Consider the following 19,091-nt stretch of genomic DNA (forward strand, 5'->3'; position numbering starts at 1 on the left):
GGTGACATGTTCCAATAGCTGATAAGCATTTCATAGTATGGTAGGTCAGGTTTACCATGTAATGTCTTTGATAATGCCTCCTTTTATATGAGAGAAGTTTCAATGGAGTCCTGCTGAGGAAGTAAATCAACAGGGGGCAAGTAGTTTGACCCTTCCAGCCAGAGAGAGAATTTGGTAAGTTTTTAGACAGGTTACTGACTGCCCTTTAGAGGTTCTGTAACTCCTTTCAGCTGGGGCTTGTATTTCATGTGTGAGAGGGCTACATTATCATAATCCATTTTTTGTTTTTATGTTATCTATCAGCAGCTCTTATAAGGCTGCTTTCTGAAGGGTATTCCCCATTTACTTGCTGTAATTCACCTTCTTTATTTCTTTAATCATGAAATTGATGTTTTGCAACCAGAGGGAGGCATTATATGTAAGTTGTTTGTGGAGGTGATACAGGGAAGAAAATTAGTGGTAAAATTAAGAACAAAAAATGGCGGTGGAAGGAAATTCATGAATAGACATCGCCTCAGTGCCATAGGAAGATGTGCTCAAGAAGCGTGTTAGACCCGAAGATCCTGGAAGAATGTCAGGCTCATGATAATTATAATTATGATATGTCTGTGGCTGATGCTGAAAAGTGCTCATGACACACTAACAAGTTTTTACTTAAGTGATTCTATTTGGTAGAAAATACCCAGATTTACCCTAACATGTAAAAAAGGTACTATCTTAAAATGTGTCTACCTATTAAACAGTGATTCCTCAGGCAGTCCTCAAACTGAAATCAGTGGAAATGTGTAAAATTGTTGATGCACTCATGTTACCATCTGAGTCTTAAAACATTTGACGTATTTTTTTATTTATACAATTTTACACACCTGAAAAGATAATGCAAATAGGATTACTTTTGCAAATTGTTAATACCTTACAAAATTTCTTGGAAATTTTTATTTAAATTTTTAAACATCCTTTTTTATTCAAGGGAAAAAATTCCAGCCTATCTCATTCTCTCATATAATACGCCATTTTCCTTAACAGTTCTTTTTCTAAATTTTTATTTTGTGAGTACATAGTAGGTATATATATTTGTTGAGTACATGACATATTTTGGTACAGGCGTGCAATGCATAATAGCATGGAGAATGGGGTATCCATCTTCTCAAGCATTCATCTTTTGTGTTACAAACCATCCAATTATAGTCTTACAGTCCTTTTAAAATGTACAGTTATTATGGACTATAGTCACCCTGTTGTGCTACCAAACACTAGGTCTTATTCATGCTTTCTATTTTTTGTGCCCATTAACCAACTCCCATCTCCACCTCCTTGCCACTACCCTTCCCAACCTCTGGCAACCATCCTTCTACTCTCTATCTCCACAAGTGTAATCGTTTTGAATTTTAGATCCCACAAATAAGTGAGAACATCAATGTTTTTCTTTGCCTGGCCTATTCCAATTAACATAATGACCTCCAGTTCCATCCATGTTGTTGCAGATGACAGGATCTCACTCTCTTCTGTGGCTGAATATACACAACTCCATTGTGTATATGTACCACATGTTTTTATCCATTCATCTGTTGATGGACACTTAGGTTGCTTCCACATCTTGGCTATTGTGAACAGTGCTGCAACAAACATGGGAATGCAGACATCTCTGAGAATCTAATGTCCTTTCTTTGGGGTATATACCTAGCAATGGGATTGCTGGATCATATGGAAGATCTAGTTTTTTTGAGGAACCTCCAAACTGTGCTCCATGGTAGTTTTATTAATTTATGTTTCCACCAACAGTGTAGAGGGTTCCCTTTTCTCCATATGCTCAACAGCATTTGTTATTGCCTGTTCTTTGGATAAAAGCCATTTTAACTGGGGTGAGATGATATCTCACTGTAGTTTTGAATTGCATTTCTCTGATGATCAGTGATGTTGAACTTCTTTGTATGCCTGTTTGGCATTTATATGTCTTCTTTTGAGGAAATGTCTGTTCAAATCTTCTGCCTATTTTTAAGTTGGATTATTAGATTTTTTTTCCTATAGTGTTTTTTGAGCTCCATATATACTCTGGTTATTAATGTTTTGTCAGATGGGTAGCTTGCAGATATTTTCTCCCATTCTGTCAGTTATCTGTTCACTTTGTTGTTTCCTTTGTTGTGCAGAAGCTTTTTGACTTGATGCCAGCCCATTTGTTCATGTTTGCTTTGGTTCCCTGTGCTTTTGGGGCATTGCTCAAAAAAATCTTTGCCCAATCCAATGTCCTAGAGAGTTTCCCTGTGTTCTTGTAGTAGTTTCATAATTTGAGGTCTTAGATTTATGTCTGATCCATTTTGATTTGATTTTTGTATATGGCAAGAGACAGGGGTCTAGTTTCATGCTTCTGCATATCGACATCTAGTTTTGCCAAAGCCATTCATTGAAGAGACTGTCTTTTTCCTTGGTGTATGTTCTTAGCACCTTTGTTGAAAATAAGTTTACTGTAGGTGTGTAGATTTGTTTCTGGGTCTTTACTCTGTTGCATTGGTCTATGTGTCTGTTTTTATGCCAGTACAATTCTCTCTTGGTTATTATAGCTCTGTTGCATAGTTTGAGGTCAGGAAATGTGATTCTTCCAGTTTTGTTCTGTTTACTTAGGATAGCTTTGGCTGTTCTGGGTCTTTTGTGGCTCCATGTAAATTTTAGAATTGTTTTTTCTTTTACTGTGAAGAATGTCATTGGTATTTTGAGAGGGATTGCATTGAATCTGTAGATTGCTTTGGGTAGTGTGGACATTTTAACAACATTGTCTCTTCCAATTCAAGAACATTAAATATGTTTCCATTTTTTGTGTCCTCTTATTATCAGTGTTTCATAGTTTTCATTATAGAGATCTTTCACTTCTGTGTTTAACTCCTAGGTATGTAATTTTATTTGTGGCTATTGAAAATGAGATTACCTTTTTGGTTTCTTTTTCAGATTGTTTGCTGTCAGCCTATAGAAATGCTACGGAGTTTTGTATATTGATTTTGCACCCTGCAACTTAAATCAATTTGTTTGTCAGTTCTAATAGGTTTTTGTTTGTGTGTGAAGTCTTTAGGTTTTTCCAAAGACAAGATCATATCATCTACAAATAAGGATAATTTGACTTCTTCCTTTCCAATTTGGATGCACTTTATTTCTTTCTTTTGTCTGATTGTTCTAGCGAGAACTTCCAGTAGTATCTTGAATAACTGTTGTGAAAGTGGGCATCTCTGCCATGTTCCACATCTTAGAGGAAAGGTTTTCAGTTTTTCTTCATTTAGTATGATACTAGCTGTGGGTCTGTTATACATGGTTTTTATTATGTTGATGTAGGTTCCTTTTATACCCAGTTTTTTGAGGGCTTTTATCATGAAGGGATGCTGAAGGGAACTTCACCAGATGCTTTCTCAGCATCAATTGAAATGATCATATGGTTTTTGTCTTTCATCCTGTTGATATGATGTATCACACTGATTGATTTGCATATGTTGAACCATCCTTGCATCCCTGGGATAAATTTCACTTGGTCATGATGAATGATTTTTTTAATATATTGTCGAATTCTGGTATCTAATAGTTTGTTAAATTTTTTATATCTATGTATATCACAGGTATTGTCCTATAGTTTTGTTTCTTTGACACCTCTTTGCTTTTTGTATCAGTTTAATACTGGCCTTCTAGAATGAGTTTGGAAGTATTCCCTCCTCTATTATTTGAAGTGGTTTGAGTAGGATTGGTATTAATTCTTTAAATGTTTAGTAGAATTCAGCAGTGAAGCCATTGGGCCTGGGCTTTTCTTTACTGGGAGACTTTTTATTATGGCTTTGATCCCATTACTTGTTATTGGTAGGTTGTAGATATTTTTTCATGATTCAATCTTTGTAGATTGTATGTGCTTAGGAATTTATCCACTTCCCCTACATTTTCCAAGTTAGCAGCGTATAGTTGCTCATGGTAGCCACTAACAATCTTTAAGTTTCTGTAGTATTAGTTGTAATGTCTTTTTTTTCGTCTCTGATTTTATTTCCCTGGGTCTTCTCCCTTTTTTTCTTTGTTAGTCTAGCTAAAGGTTGTCAATTTTGTTTATCCTTTCAGAAAAACAACTTTTTGTTTAATCTTTTGTATTCTTATTTCAAATTCATTAATGTGTGTTCTGATCATTTTTATATCTTCCACTAATTTCAAATTTGGTTTGCTCTGGATTTTCCAGTTCTTTAAGATGCATTATTGTGTTGTTTATTTGAAGTTTTTCTTCTTTCTTGATGTAGGCAATTATAGCTATAAACTTCTCTCTAGTACTGCTTTTGCTGTATCCCATAGGTTTTAATATGTTATGTTTTTATTATCACAAGTTTCTAGAAGTTTTTCAGTTTCCTTCTTAATTTCTTCATTGACCCACTGGTTCTTCAGGAACATATTGTTTAATTTCCATTTGTAAATATCTATTAGGTCCATTTATTTTGTAGTCCAGACTAGGTCTGATTTTTCTTTGTCAATTTTCTTTCTGGGACATATGTTCAATGCTGAAAGTGGGATGTTGAAGTTCCCAGCTATTATTGTATTTAGGTCTATCTTTTTAGCTGTAATAATATTTGCTTTATATATCTGGGTGCTCCAGTGGAGGGTGCATATGTACTTAGAACCATTGTATCCTCTTGCTGAATTGACCCCTTTATCATTATATAATGACTTTTTTCTCTTACAATTTTTGTTTTGAAATCTATTTTGTCTGATATAAGTATAGCTATTCCTGCGCTTTTTTGGTTTCCTTTGCCATGGAATATTTTTTTCCATTCATTTATTTTTGGCCTATGTGTATCTTTATAGATAAAGTGTGCTTCTTGTAGGCAACAGATCACTGGGTCTTGCTTGTTCATCCATTAGGCAACTCTGTGTCTTTTTATTGGAGAATTTAGTCCATTTCCATTCAATGTTATTATTGATATGTAAACACACCTAGCATTTTGTTATTTGTTTTCTAGTTGTTTTCAAGTCTTCTTTTCTTCCTCCCTATCTTCCTTTTAGTAAAAGTGATTTTCTCTGGCGGTATAATTTCTTGCTTTTTTTGTGTGTGTATCCATTGTGTTTTTCAATATGAGGTTATTATGAGGTTTGCAGATACTATCTTAAAACCCATTAAACTGATGACAACATAATTGCATAAACAAACACACAAAAAAACTAATAAAAACTCTACACTGTAACATTATCTCCCAAGTTTTTAACTTTTTATTGCCTCTCTTTATGTCTTATTGTACTGTGTATGTCTTGAGAAGTTGTGGTTATTGATTTTGTTTGGTTCATTTAGTCTTTCTACTTAAGATAAGAGTAGTTTCACACCACAATTAACAGTGTTACACTATTCTGGGGGTTTTGTGTGTTTACTATTAGCAGTGAGTTTTGGTCCTTCTGATGATTTCTTATTGCTGATTAATGTCCTTTCCTTTCAGATTGAAGAACTCCCTTTAGCTTTTTTTTGTAGGGCAGGTCTGGTGCTAATGAAATTCCTCAGTTTTTGTTTCTCCTTCATGATTGAAGGATATTTTTGCCAGATATACTATTCTAGAGTAAAAGTTGTTTTTCTTCAGTACTCTAAATATGTCATACCATTCTCTCCTGGCCTGTAAGGTTTGCACTGAAAGCTTTCCATCTGCTGTCAGGTATATTGTAGCTCCATTGTATGTTATTTGCTTCTTTTCTCGTGTTGCTTTTAAGATCCTTTCTTTATTCTTGACCTTCAAGAGTTTGGTTATTAAATGCCTGGAGGTAGTCTGTTTTGGATTAAATCTGCTTGGTGTTCTATAACCTTTCTGTACTTGGATGTTGATATCTTTTCCCAGGTTTCGGAAGTTCTCAGATATTATTCTTTTGAATAAACTTTCTACCCTATCTGTTTCTCTGCCTCCTACTGAAGACCAATAATTCTTAGATTTGCCCTTTTGAGGCTATTTTCTGTATCTTGTATGTGTGCTTTATTCTTTTTAATTTTTTGACTTAACTGGTTGTATTTTCAAACATCCTATCATGAAGCCCACTGATCCTTTCTTCTGCTTTATCAGTTCTGCTATTAAGAGACTCTTATACATTCTTCAGTATGTCAATTTTTCAGCTCCAGAATTTCTGCTTCTTTTTAATAATTTTAATATCATTGTTAAATTTATCTAATAAAATTCTGAATTGCTTCTCTGTGTTACCTTGAATTTTTTTTTAGTTTCCTCGAAACACCCACTTTGAATTCTCAGTCTGAAAAGTCACATATCTCTGTTTTTCCAGGATTGGTCCTTGGTGCCTTATTTAGTTCATTTGGTGAGGTCATTTTTTTCCTAAATGGTCTTGATACTTGTAGCTGTTTATCATTGTTTGGGCATTGAAGAGTTAAGTATTTATTTATTTGTTATACTTTAAGTTCTAGGGTACATGTGCCCAATGTGCAGGTTTGTTACATACGTATACCTGTGCTGTGTTGGTTTGCTGCATCCATTAACTCATCATTTACATTAGGTATTTCTGCTAATGCTATCCCTCCCCCAACCCCCACCCCATGACAGGCCCCAGTGTGTGATGTTCCCTGCCCTGTGTCCAGGTGTTCTCATTGTTCAGTTCCCACCTATGAGTGAGAACAGGTGGTGTTTGGTTTTCTGTCCTTGCAATAGTTTGCTCAGAATGATGGTTTCCAGCTTCATCCATGCCACCACAAAGGACATGAACTCATCTTTTTGTATGGCTGCATAGCATTCCACGGTGTACATGTGCCACATTATTTTTTTAGGTTATACTAAGTTTTTTAAATTTTATTTTTTCTTTATTATACTTTAAGTTCTAGGGTACATGTGCACAATATGCAGGTTTGTTACGTATGTATACATGTGCCGTGTTGGTTTGCTGCACCCATTAGCTCATCATTTACATTAAGTATTTCTCCTAATGGTATCCCTCCCCCATTCCCCCACCCCGTGACAAGCCCTGGTGTGTGATGTTCCCTGCCCTGTGTCCAAGCGTTCTCATTGTTCAGTTCCCACCTATGAGTGAGAACATGTGGTGTTTGGTTTTCTGTCCTTGTGATAGTTTGCTCAGAATGATGATTTCCGGCTTCATCCATGTCGCTACAAAGGACATGAACTCATCCTTTTTTATGGCTGCATAGTATTCCATGGTGTATATGTGCCACATTTTCTTAATCCAGTCTATCATTGATGGACATTTGGGTTGGTTCCAAGTCTTTACTATTGTGAATAGTGCCACAATAAACACATGTGTGCATGTGTCTTTATAGGAACATGATTTATAATCCTTTGCGTATATACCCAGTAATAGGATCACTAGGTCAAATGGTATTTCTAGTTCTAGATCCTTGAGGAATCGCCACACCGTCTTCCACAATGGTTGAACTAGTTTACACTCCCAAAAGTGTAAAAGCATTCCTATTTCTCCATATCCTCTCCAGCATCTGTTGTTTCCTGACTTTAAGGATTGCCATTCTAACTGGTGTGAGATGGTATCTCATTGTGGTTTTGATTTGCATTTCTCTGATGGCCAGTCATGATGAGCATTTTTTCATGTGTCTATTGGCTGCATAAATGTCTTCTTTTGAGAACTATCTATTCATATGCTTTGCCCACTTTTTGATGGGGTTGTTTGATTTTTTTTTCTTGTAAATTTGTTTGAGTTCTTTGTAGGTTCTGGATATTAGCCCTTTGTCCAATGGGTAGATTGCAAAAATTTTCTCCCATTCTGTAGGTTGCCTGTTCACTCTGATGGTAGTTTCTTTTGCTGTGGAGAAGCTCTTTAGTTTAATTAGATCCCATTTGTCAATTTTGGCTTTTGTTGCCATTGCTTTTGGTGTTTTAGTCATGAAGTCCTTGCCCATTCCTATGTCCTGAATGGTATTGCCTAGGTTTTCTTCTAGGGTTTTTATGGTTTTAGGTCTAACATTTAAGTCTTTAATCCATCTTGAATTAATTTTTGTATAAGGTGTAAGGAAGGGATCCAGTTTCAGCTTTCTACATATGGCTAGCCAGTTTTCCCAGCACCATTTATTAAATAGGGAATCCTTTCCCCATTGCTTGTTTTTGTCAGGTTTGTCAAAGATCAGATAGTTGTAGATATGTGGCATTATTTCTGAGACCTCTGTTCTTTTCCATTGATCTATATCTCTGTTTTGGTACCATTACCATGCTGTTCTGATTACTGTAGCCTTGTAGTATAGTTTGAAGTCAGGTAGCATGATGCCTTCAGCTTTGTTCTTTAGGCTTAGGATTGTCTTGGCAATGAAGGCTCTTCTTTCATTCCATGTGGACTTTAAAGTAGTTTTTTCCAATTCTGTGAAGAAAGTCATTGGTAGCTTGATGGGGATGGCATTGAATCTATAAATTACCTTGGGCAGTATGGCCATTTTCACGATATTGATTCTTCCTAACCATGAGCGTGGGAAGTTCTTCCATTTGTTTGTGTCCTCTTTTATTTCGTTGAGCAGTTGTTTGTAGTTCTCCTTGAAGAGGTCCTTCACATCCCTTGTAAACTGGATTCCTAGGTATTTTATTCTCTTTGAAGCAACTGTGAATGGAAGTACACTCATGATTTGGCTCTGTTTGTCTGTTACTGGTGTATAAGAATGCCTGTGATTTTTATACATTGATTTTGTATCCTGAGACTTTGCTGAAGTTGCTTATCAGCTTAAGGAGATTTTGGGCTGAGACGACGAGGTTTTCTAAGTATACGATCATGTCATCTGCAAACAGGGACAATTTGACTTCCTCTTTTCCTAATTGAATATCTCTTATTTCTTTATCTTGCCTGATTGCCCTGGCCAGGACTTCCAACACTATGTTGAATAGGAATGGTGAGAGAGGGCATCCCTGTCTTGTGCGTTTTCAAAGGGAATGTTTCCAGTTTTTGCCCTTTCGGTATGATATTGGCTGTGGGTTTATCATAGATAGCTCTTATTATTTTGAGATATGTGCCATCAATACCTAGTTTATTGAGAGTTTTTAGCATGAAGGGCTGTTGAATTTTGTTGAAGGCCTTTTCTGCATCTATTGAGATAATCATGTGGTTTTTGTCTTTGGTTCTGTTTATGTGATGGATTACATTTATTGATTTGCGTATGTTGAACCAGCCTTGCATCCCAGGGATGAAGCCAACTTGATCTTGGTGGATAAACTTTTTGATGTGCTGCTGGTTTCTGTTTGCCAGTATTTTCTTGAGGATTTTTTGCATCAATGTTCAACAGAGATATTGGTCTAAAATTCTCTTTTTTTGTTGTGTCTCTGCCAGGCTTTGGTATCAGGATGATGCTGGTCTCATAAAATGAGTTAGGGAGGATTCCCTCTTTTTCTATTGATAGGGGTAGTTTCAGAAGGAAGGGTACCAGATCCTTTTTGTACCTCTGGTAGAATTCGGCTGTGAATCCGTCTGGTCCTGGACTTTTTTTGGTTGGTAGGCTATTATTGCCTCAGTTTCAGAGCCTGTTATTGGTCTATTCAGCAATTCAACTTCTTCCTGGTTTAGTCTTGGGAGGGTGTATGTGTCCAGGAATTTATCCATTTCTTCTAGATTTTCTAGTTTATTTGCATAGAGGTGTTTATAGTATTCTCTGATGGTAGTTTGTATTTCTGTGGGATCAGTGGTGATATCCCCTTTATCATTTTTTATTGCATCTATTTGATTCTTCTGTCTTTTCTTCTTTATTAGTCTTGCTAGAGGACTATCAGTTTTGTTGGTCTTTTCAAAAAACTAGCTCCTGGATTCATTGATTTTTTGAAGGGTTTTTTGTATCTCTATCTCCTTCAGCTCTGCTCTGATCTTAGTTATTTCTTGCCTTCTGCTAGCTTTTGAATGTGTTTGTTCTTGCTTCTCTAGTTCTTTTAATTGTGATGTTAGGGTGTCAATTTTAGATCTTTCCTGCTTTCTCTTGTGGGCATTTAGTGCCATAAATTTCCCTCTACACACTGCTTTGAATGTGTCCCAGAGGTTCTGGTATGTTGTGTCTTTGTTCTCATTGGTTTCAAAGAACATCTTTATTTCTGTCTTCATTTCGTTATGTATCCAGTAGTCATTCAGAAGCAGGTTGTTCAGTTTCGATGTAGTTGTGTGGTTTTGAGTGAGTTTCTTAATCCTGAGTTCTAATTTTATTGCACTGTGGTCTGAGAGACAGTTTGTTATAATTTCTGTGCTTTTGCATTTGCTGAGGAGTGTTTTACTTCCAACTATGTGGTCAATTTTGGAGTAAGTGCAATGTGGTGCTGAGAAGAATGTATATTCTGTTGATTTGGGGTGGAGAGTTCTGTAGATGTCTATTAGGTCTCCTTGTTGCAGAGCTGAGTTCAAGTCCTGGATATCCTTGTTAACCTTCTGTCTCGTTGATCTGTCTAAAGTTGACAGTGGTGTGTTAAAGTCTCCCATTATTATTGTGTGAGAGTCTAAGTCTCTTTGTAGGTCTCTAAGGACTTGCCTTATGAATCTGGGTGCTCTTGTATTGGGTGCACATATATTTAGAATAGTTAGCTCTTCTTGTTGAATTGATCCCTTTACCATTATGTAATGGCCTTCTTTGTCTCTTTTGATCTTTGTTGGTTTAAAGTCTGTTTTATCAGAGACTAGGATTGCAACCCCTGCTTTTTTTTTTTTTTTGCTTTCTATTTCCTTGGTAGATCATCCTCCATCCCTTTATTTTGAGCGTATGTGTGTCTCTGCACGTGAGATGAGTCTTCTGAATACAGCACACTGATGGGTCTTCATTCTTTATGCAATTTGCCAGTCTGTGTCTTTTAATTGGAGCATTTAGCCCATTTACATTTAAGGTTAATATTGTTATATGTGAATTTGATCCTGTCATTATGATGTTAGCTGGTTATTTTGCCCGTTAGTTGATGCAGTTTCTTCCTAGCATCGATGGTCTTTTTACTTTGGCATGTTTTTGCAGTGGCTGGTACCGGTTGTTCCTTTCCATGTTTAGTGCTTCCTTCAGGAGCTCTTGTAAGGCAGGCCTGGTAGTGACAAAATCTCTCAGCATTTGCTTCTCTGTAAAGGATTTTATTTCTCCTTCACTTATGAAACTTAGTTTGGCTGGATATGAAATTCTGGGTTGAAAATTCTTTTCTTCAAGAACGTTGAATATTGGCCCCCACTCTCTTCTGGCTTGTAGGGTTTCTGCCGAGAGATCCGCTGTTAGTGTGATGGGCTTCCCTTTGTGGGTCAACCCAACCTTTCTCTCTGGCTGCTCTCAGCCTTTTTTCCTTCATTTTAACCTTGGTGAATCTGACAATTATGTGTCTTGGGGTTGCTCTTCTCGAGGAGTATCTTTGTGATGTTTTCTGTATTTCCTGAATTTGAATGTTGGCCTATCTTGCTAGGTTGGGGAAGTTCTCCTGGGTAATATCCTGCAGAGTGTTTTCCAACTTGGTTCCATTCTCCCTGTCACTTTCAGGTACACCACTCAGACGTAGATTTGGTCTTTTCACATAGTCCCTTATTTCTTGGAGGCTTTGTTCATTTCTTTTTACCCTTTTTTCTCTAAACTTCTCGCTTCATTTCATTAATTTGATCTTCAATCACTGATACCCTTTCTTCCACTTGATCGAATTGGCCACTGAAGCTTGTGCATGTATCACGTGGTTCTCATGCCATGGTTTTCAGCTCCATCAGGTCATTTACGGTCTTCTCTGTGATGTTTATTCTAGTTAGCCATTCATCTAATCTTTTTTCAAGGTTTTTAGCTTCTCTGGGATGGGTTTGAACATCCTCCTTTAGCTCAGAGAAGTTTCTTATTACTGATCATCTGAAGCCTTCTTCTCTCAACTCGTCAAAGTCATTCTCCGTCCAACTTTGTTCCCTTGCTGGCGAGGAGCTGTGTTCCTTTGGAGGAGAAGAGGCACTCTGATTTTTAGAATTTTCAGCTTTTCTGCTCTGGTTTCTCCCCATCTTTGTGGTTTTATCTACCTTTGGTGTTCGATGATGGTGATGTACAGATGGGGTTTTGGTGTGGATGTCCTTTCTCTTTGTTGGTTTTCCTTCTAACAGTCAGGTCCCTCAGCTGCAGGTCTGTTGGAGTTTGCTGGAGGTCCACTCCAGACCCTGTTTGCCTGGGTATCACTAGTGGAGGCTTGCAGAACAGCAATGTTGCTTCCTGATCCTTCCTCTGGAAGCTTCATCTCAGAGGGCCACCCTGCCATATGAGGTGTCAGTCGGCCCCTACTGGGAGGTGCCTCTCAATTAGGCTACTCGGGGGTCAGGGACCCACTTGAGGAGGCAGTCTGTCCGTTCTCAGATCCGTGCTGGGAGAACCACTACTCTCTTCAAAGCTGTTAGACAGGGATGTTTAAGTTTCTGCTGCCTTTTGTTCAGCTATGCTCTGTCCCCAGAGGTGGAGTCTACAGAGGCAGGCAGGCCTCCTTGAGCTGCAGTGGGCTCCACCCAGGTCAAACTTCCCAGCGGCTTTATTTACCCACTCAAGCCTCAGCAATGGCAGACTCCCCTCCCCCAACCTCACTGCCACCTTGCAGTTTGATCTCAGACTGCTGTGCTAGCAGTGAGTGAGGCTCCATGGGCGTGGGACCCTCTGAGCCATGCATGGGATATAATTTGCTGGTGTGCCATTTGCTAAGACCATAGGAAAAGCGCAGTATTAGGGTGGGAGTATCCCAGTTTTCCAAGTACCATCTGTCATGGCTTCCCTTGGCTAGGAAAGAGAATTCTCTGACTGCTTGTGCTTCCTGGGTGACCCAATGCCCCACCCTGCTTTGGTTCATGCTCCATGGGCTGCACCCACTGTCCGACAAGCCCCAGTGAGATGAACCCGGTACCTCAGTTGGAAATGCAGAAATCACCTGTCTTCTGCATTGCTCACGCTGGGAGCTGTAGACTGGAGCTGTTCCTATTCAGCCATCTTGGAACCTCCCGCCAACAATGTCTTTTTGTCCTTTTTGATCTATGTTGGCTTAAAGTCTGTTTTGTCTGAAACTCAGATTGCAACCCTTGCTTTTTTCTGTTTTCCATTTGCTTGGTCGATTTTTCTCCATCCCTTTATTTTGAGCCTATGTGTGTCATTGCATGTGAAATCTGTCTCTTGAAGGCAGCATGCCAATGGGTCTTGCTTTTTTATCCAGCTTGCCACTCTGTGCCTTTTAAGTAGGGCATTTAGCCCATTTATATTGAAGGTTAGTATTAATATGTGTGAATTTAATCCTGTCGTCATGATGTTAGCTGGTTATTTTGCAGACTTGTTTATGTGGTTGCTTTATAATGCCACTGGCCTGTGTATGTCAGTGTGTTTTTGTAGTGGCTGGTAACAATCTTTTCATATTGAGTGCTCTTATCAGGAGCTCTTGCAAGGCAGGTCTGGTGGTGACAAATTCTCACAGCATTTGCTTATCTGAAAAGGATCTTATTTCTCCTTTATTTATGAAGCTTAGTTTGGCTGGTTATGAAATTCTGGGTTGGAAATTCTTTTCTTTAAAAATGTTGAATATTGGCCTTCACATCTCTTTGGCTTGTAGGGGTTCTGGCTGAAAGGCCTGTCATTAGTCTGATGGATTTCCCTTTGTAGGTGAGCTGACCTTTCTCTCTAGCTGCCTTTAACATTTTTCCTTTCATTTCAACCTTGGAGAGTATCTGATAATTATGTGTCTTTGGGGTGGTCTTCCTATGGGGTATCTTACTGGCATTCTGTACATTTCCTATATTTGAATGTTGGCTTCTCTAGCTAGGTTGGGGAAGTTCTCATGGATAATATCCTGAAATATGTATTCCAAGTTGCTTCCATTCTCTTCATCTCTTTCAGGGACACGAATGAGGCATAGATTTGGTCTCTTTATGTAATCCCATATTTCTCAGAGGTTTTGTTCATTCCTTTTTATTCTTGTTTTTCTTTCTGTTCTTGTCTGACTGTTTTATTTCAGAAAGCCAGTCTTCAAGCTATGAGATACTTTCCTCCACTTGGTCTGTTCTGCTATTAATACTTGGGATTGCGTTATGAAATTCTTTTAATGTGCCTTTCAGCTCTATCAGGTCAGTTACATTCTTTTCTATACTGACTATTTTGTCTGTCAGCTCGTGCGTTGTTTTATTGTGATCCCTAGAGTCCTTGGATTAGGTTTCAACATACTCCCGTAGCTCAGTGATTTTCATTTCTATCCATAGTCTGAGTTCTGCTTCTGTCATTTCAGCTGTTTCAGCCTAGTTCAGAACCCTTGTTGGAGAGGTAATGAGGTCATTTGGAGGAAAGAAGGCACTCTGACTTTTTGAGTTGCCGTGGTTCTTTCACTGGTGTTTTCTCATCTTTGTGGGCTTACTTTCCTTCAATCTTTGAGGTTGCTGACCTTTGAATTTTCTTCTTTTATCCTAGTTGATGACCTTAAGGGTTTGAGTGTGGTATAAGGTGGTTTCAGCCCACTGGCTTCATTTCTGGAAGATTTTATGGGCCCAATGTTCAGCTCCCAACTCCTGAACTACCTGTGCTAACTCTGGGGAATTTGTATTGGGCCCAGACTTTGTTCTCTGGCTCCTTGAGGTTAAGAATTCACTGCTCTGGGGGGTGTAAGGTGCTTGCAGAACGTTGGTCACTACACTCCAATGGGTGGTGCCAGCCAAAGAGTTTTATAGTGCAGTGACAGCAGGATTCTCATTTGCATGTGCCAGCAGCAGCAGTAGCAGCAGCATAGTGGGGTGCACACTCATCAACTGCAGCAGGGTGCTGTTGGGTGCCAGTGTGCCTGCCCCGCTGTGGGCATTCACCACAGTGGCAGAGGCAACACAGCTCAGGGAAGGGTAGGGGGCTGCTGCTGGCGACTGTGTATGTGGTTGCATTGGTGATGGTGTTGCCTTGGGAGCACTGGCGGGCTCAGGTCTGTGCCTTCTCTGTATTGCATGAGCAGTAGTGGTCACTCAGGGCAGGAGAGGATCTGCTGTTCTCTGTACCTAGTTTCACTCCCACGGCAGTGTTGTCACAAGGGCAGGGTAGGGCACTGGTGGTGGGAGTGGAGCTCGCTGGCTGTGTGCCCACCAAGGCTTTTTCTAAATGGTGGTCAGCAGCGGGAGGGCGGCTGACTGCACTCTTGCTGCAGCAGTGACAGGGTGGGGTGTATGCACACATGCATGTGGGTCGGACAAGGAAAGCAAAACCCGTCCCCACAGACATGCTCCAGCCAAGCGATGTGGGGAGTTGCTGTGGGCCCAAGGGAAGCTATAGTTTGAGGAGGGAGTATGCAGGCTGGTGCTTTGCCATGGGGGCCTCCCTGTGCTGGAGCCCTCTTCTAGTCAGGCAGGGTCCACCAGCACAGAAGCTATGACCCAAGGCTGCCCTGCAAGCAGGCATGACCAGGCTGGGGCCCCAGGACTTTCAGATTGTAAAGTCAAATGGTGAGAATAATTTATTTTCCTGAAAAGATGACTTAAAATTAGTGGAATGGGCAGCAAGTGAAGTTCATTAGCATCTAAATAGAATTTGTTTTTGCCTTGCATGGAGGAAACTTAGGCACACATAGTGAGGGAGTTTCAAATTGTATTCTCCCCCAATAGTTCACTTTTCAATCTCAGGATGCTCTTTAATTAAAAATTAAACAGGATTTTAGGCCAGGCACGGTGGCTCACACCTGTAATCCCTGCACTTTGGGAGGCCGAGGTGGATGAATCACTTGAGGTCAGGAGTTCAAGACTAGCCAGGCCAACATGGTGAAACCCTGTCTCTACTAAAAATAGAAAAATTGGCCGGGCATGGTGGCGCATGCCTGTAATCCCAGCTACTCGGAAGACTGAAGCAGAAGAATCACTTGAACCTGGGAGGCAGAGGTTGCAGTGAGCTGAGACTGTGCTACTGCACTCTAGCCTGGGTGACAGAGTGAGACTCCTTCTCAAAAACGAAAAAAAATTAAACAGGATTTTAAATTAAACCTAAATGGCAGGACAAGGTGTCCTCCAGAGCATGCACCCAAATTGAGTAAACCGCCAAGAGATCTCTCAATGGACTAAACTTTCTGTAACATGTTTGAGAGTGCATTCTAATCATAATTGTAAAAAAGTAGTTAAAATCTATGTTTGAAAATTAAAATTAAACATAGAACCCTGAAAATCTCTATGCAACTTTATCCCACAGAAATTTTGAAAAACAAAACAGAGCACACTCCGTTGTTATTATAGCTTTAAAATATAGCAGAAATAGTGGCTACATTTTTGAAAGTTCAGTAAAGTTCAACTTTCCGAGCCAGAGCTTGCAAAGAGCATAGTTGAGAAGTAGCCCCCAGAAGGGTGTGGCTAACACAGCCTCTGACTTCAGAGTCAGGAGAGCAAAAGGCCTTGCCTACTGCAACTTATTCATGTGAATCAATAACTCTTGTGTTTACCAACATTTTAAACAAACTTGACCATCTAGAGAAGAGTGGGCAGAAATAGTGCTGTGAGGATTGATCTTCCTGTGGTTGTAAAAGCACAATGATCTTGTATAATTTAGTCTATCCTGCCTTTGTAAACTTTGAAAGCATGACGTCTTTATATCAGGATCTAATAATAGCTATTATGATGACTCTTCATTGTCATGAAAAAATATAATTAGGTTTTCATATGGTCTAAGAAGGTAGGAAAACGATGTAAAGATTTGTGAAGGATGTTAACTAAAATAGTTAAAATGAGTCCAGCCATTATGAGCTTAACTCAGGTACCTGGAACATTGGCTTATATGGAACATTAAATTTCTGAAAAAAGCTCAAAAAATGGGACATGCATGTACATATTCCTACCATGAATCTGACTCCACAGGGCTACAAAATATTTAACCTTCATTTCAGGAGTGCTAGTGTGCTTCAGGTAGGTTTCATACAGTTTATTTGTCCTGACAAAAAATCACCCTATCAGCCTTCTCATGAGCATCCAGTGACAGAGATGTGGAAAAGAACCTTCTGTGGGGAGAGTAAAGTTTGAAACAGTGAGGAACAGAGGATGATGTTCGAGAAGCCACAGGAGGAGACACCAGTGGACACCAGCAAGGAGAGGAGCCAGGGAGAAGGAAATGGGGAAGACATTCCTCAAGGAGCAGCTCTGAGCTCCGCGGCTTTGGGGGCCATGGAGTCACAAGAGCTTAAGATGTCCCTTCAGCACCAGCTGGGCATGGGCAATAGTGAGAGGAGAGGGTGGCAGCTATGACATCAGTGTTTGTGTCTTTACCTGCACATGGGGAGAAAATTCCATCTGTTTCCCATAAGTAGGGCCATCTTTGAACAGAAGAGGCAGTTGTGTGTTTCCACAAATGTGGCGACATACATTGTAGGACACGCCAAGACTTTGCTGTAGCCCAGCCATAGGCTCTTAGACTTTGGCGGGTTGTTCTCTTCCCCCTATCCCTTCATTTCTTCTGTCCACCAAAATGTATTGAGTTCATCCTGGGAGCCAGACACTGGTAGGTGCTGGGGATATAGGCAGGAATGTGCTTTCATGAGAGACAAGAAAGCCTGACCTTGCTGCCACAGAAATTTCATTGCACTGTGAGACAGAGATGTGCCAATAGAAAGATCCACATAAGAAGCATAAGAAGAAGCATAAGAAGAGCATAAGAAGCATTAGAACGGGCATGAAAGTTCATCCTCGGAGCCAGACACTGGTAGGTGCTGGGGATATAGGCAGGAATGTGCTTTCATGAGAGACAAGAAAGCCTGACCTTGCTGCCACAGAAATTTCATTGCACTGTGAGACAGAGATGTGCCAATAGAAAGATCCACATAAGAAGCATAAGAAGAAGCATAAGAAGAGCATAAGAAGCATTAGAACGGGCATGAAAGTCCATCCAGGGGACACTTTTTACCCAAATTTGAGAGGCCAGGAGAGCTTCCTGGAGAAAGTGACATGTAAGGCAAGACCTGAAAGACAAACCCAATTACCTGGAGAGGTGAGGAAGGAAGAGGGACAGGTGTTCCAAGAAAGGCAGATAGCATATTGAGGGGAGCAGTGGGAAAGAGAAGGGGAACTCCAGGAACTGAAGTGATCCCCACCACCAGAGCATGGAGTGTGAGTGAAAAGTCTGCAGAGGGCTGGTGACCGGGACCTCTGAACACGGGAGGCCAGACAGTATTCTAAGATCAACGGGAAACCATTGCAAAGTTTCACCCAGAGGAGTAATGTGATCAGATTTGCATCTTAGAACAGTTGTTTTGGCACTTCTGACTGGAAGGGCAAGAATGGCCAGTGTTGTTGTTACCTGAAGGGTAAATGTGGCCCACAATATGAAATGCAGTGAAGAAGGAGACATATGCATATATGTAAGTAAATATAATCGAGGTATATTTAGCAGACAGAATCAATAGACTTGATGAGTGATGGACTGGATGTGTGAGGAGTCTAGATCACTTCCAAGTTGCTGATTTGGGCAACTCAGTACTAATCAATGAAAAAGAAGATCCACAGGGAGGAACTTGTCTAAGGGGTGAGGTGGGGCTGAACAGCTGCGTTTGAGACTGGAGAAGTGTGTGCTGGGCATGGGATGCACAAGTGGAAATGCCTTTGGGTCTGCAGCTCAGACGTGGGCATGACCAGCATAGAGATAGAGAGGCCCCAGGCTGCCAGGTGAGTGTGATCCCCAGGTGATGGTGTCAGCTGAGAAGGGAAGGAAGCCCCTGTGAGGACACTGAAGTGGCGAGGGCAGACAACAAGGAGTCCACAGGAGACAGGAAAGGAAGAACTAGAGGGAGGAGCCAAGCCAGGCATGTGTGGTGACATAGGAACCGAGGGAGAGGACATCTCAAGATTGAGGGGACGCTGCACAACAGGAGGACTGTGTGGTTTTTGGCCACATCCACAGGAAGTCACAACAGGCAAGGAAAAGAAACTGGCAATCAGACATGGAGTTGAGGAGTGAATCAGAGAGGAGATGGGCAGGGACAGCAGGGTGAGGCCTCTTTCTGAGGAAGTTTGGCTAAAGGATAGATCAGCTGGGACACATGCTGGAAGGGTGTATGGGGTGGAGGGAGGAACGGTGGAGGGCAGGAGAGCCTTGAGCCTGAGAGAAGAGTCTCCTAGAATAGAGAAGCCGAGGTTAAAATTGTGGGAGAGAGTGGGGATAACTGAGTGACAGATAATCAGGAGAACAAAAGGAGCTCCAGAATCATGACAGAGAGATGACCTTTGCC

The 19,091-nt window shown here is 40.3% G+C and overlaps 1 protein-coding gene across 1 annotated transcript in view; it reads left to right on the forward strand.

Moving 5' to 3' along the window:
* ANKRD62 (ankyrin repeat domain 62) overlaps positions 1 to 19,091 on the forward strand; it is an 87,842-nt gene that overhangs the window by 66,517 nt on the left and 2,234 nt on the right. The window lies entirely within an intron of this gene.

The sequence above is a fragment of the Homo sapiens genome, chromosome 18 (assembly GCF_000001405.40).
Source record: "Homo sapiens chromosome 18, GRCh38.p14 Primary Assembly".
In the NCBI taxonomy this organism is placed as follows: Eukaryota; Metazoa; Chordata; class Mammalia; order Primates; family Hominidae; genus Homo; species Homo sapiens.